Genomic DNA, 1,740 nt, shown 5'->3' with positions numbered 1-1,740 from the left:
TGACACTAGTTAATTTCCATGGGCATACTCTCATGTATTCACTTCCTTTGCTATAAAATTAGCTTCTTGATAAGAAGAAATGCTGTGTAGAATGCCATGATGATGGATAATACATTCTGTATGTCTATGGATGGTGGTTATGGTTAGAAGCATTAGGGACACAGAAGACAAATCCATACCTGGGATATATGTCTATTCGAGTGAGGACAAATAACTGCCTTCTCCATAATAATCAACCTGCCATCTGGTATCTAGCTGATCCCTCCAGAGAGTGGTATCCTATCAGGGGCTCAACACTGATATCTACTTTTGCCAAATGAGGCACTTAGCAGTAGTGCTATCCAGGTCAGCCTTGGTAAGAGAACCTCTATGCTGCTGAGCCCATGTGTAGCTTTCATCCTTGCTGCTCTGATCATGAGCCCATTGAGCAATCACTTGAGTAGCTAGAGAAAGAGGCTAACTGACATCCACAGAGTATGTAATTTTGTTCACTTTGTTATTAAGATCCTTCTCTGTAATGGATGTACTTTGTAGGACATTCAAATGAGCCACAAATATTTTAAGGCCTCCATCCATCTGAGAAGTTTGTCCACATACTTCTTCCCCACACTATCTTTTTACCAATCTCCTAATTCTGTTCCTTTCTAAACCTGACCATCCAACCACTGTTCGTAGCTGCCTAAAGATCAGTGCTGATTTATATTTTTCATCCATCTCTCACTCTAGACAAAGTATAAAACCAAATGTTCCACTTGAAGTTTCACCCAACAGGAGGATTCCTTGAACACCGTCCTTCAGGGTCACCCTTAGTGGGACTACAGTGTTATAACTGTCCACTTTCAGGTGGTACCAGCACAGCATGAGACCTACTTGCAACTAGGCTTGAGTTTTTTCTTTCTTAGTCACCTGATCATAACAAAATCTACAGAAGACCATGAATATGGATTATTGGAGAGGAAGCAATGCAACAGGAATTATTGTTGAAGGATCAAGAGCCATTTGTCATGACTTACTTGTACTTTGTGCACCTGCCTGAGCTCCTTCTTATATAGCATTCTGCCTGATGATGGTTGCACACCTAACTTTATGGCTGAGTCAGACACACCCAGTTCATAATGAGAAGGTCAAGCCACATGGTCATCTGATGTCCCCTTAATTAGGCATTTGGTCCCTACCAAGGCCCCACAACAAACCAGAAGCTGTTTCTCAAAAAGACAATAGTTATTGACAAAAGATGGCATAGATTTACTCCAAAATACCCAAGGTCTATGTTATGATCTATTGGTTCTTGTCAGAGCCTCTATACTGCATTCCTAGTGGCCAAAGGGACTTCAAATTTATTTAATCTGCAGGATCAAAAAACCCAAATGATAGAACAGCTTGCAATGCAGCCTGGACTTGCTACACAGCCCTTGTTTGGTCCTGGCCTCCAGTGGAAATGGGCAACCTTACAAGGTGACTTTGTAGATAGGCTAAAGTAGCCCTCTCATGTGTGGTATATATTGACTCCCAAGTCCAGAAAGGACTACCAAGAATTGTGCCCCTTTTTATGGTGGGTGGCATAAGGTGCAGCAACTCGTATTTCATCTTTGAGGGGGATATCCATACATGCTTCAGATGACTGAACCCCGAGAAACTTCGCTGAGGTGGTAAGTCCCTGAAATTACATGCACTTTATTTCCCACCCTCTAGTTCATATACATTTTACCAAGGCATCAAAATGCATGCTACTTCATGCTC

Source organism: Homo sapiens, chromosome 5, assembly GCF_000001405.40.
Source record: "Homo sapiens chromosome 5, GRCh38.p14 Primary Assembly".
In the NCBI taxonomy this organism is placed as follows: domain Eukaryota; kingdom Metazoa; phylum Chordata; class Mammalia; order Primates; family Hominidae; genus Homo; species Homo sapiens.
The sequence above is the reverse complement of the archived record's forward strand: the minus strand, read 5'-3'. Positions refer to the sequence as shown.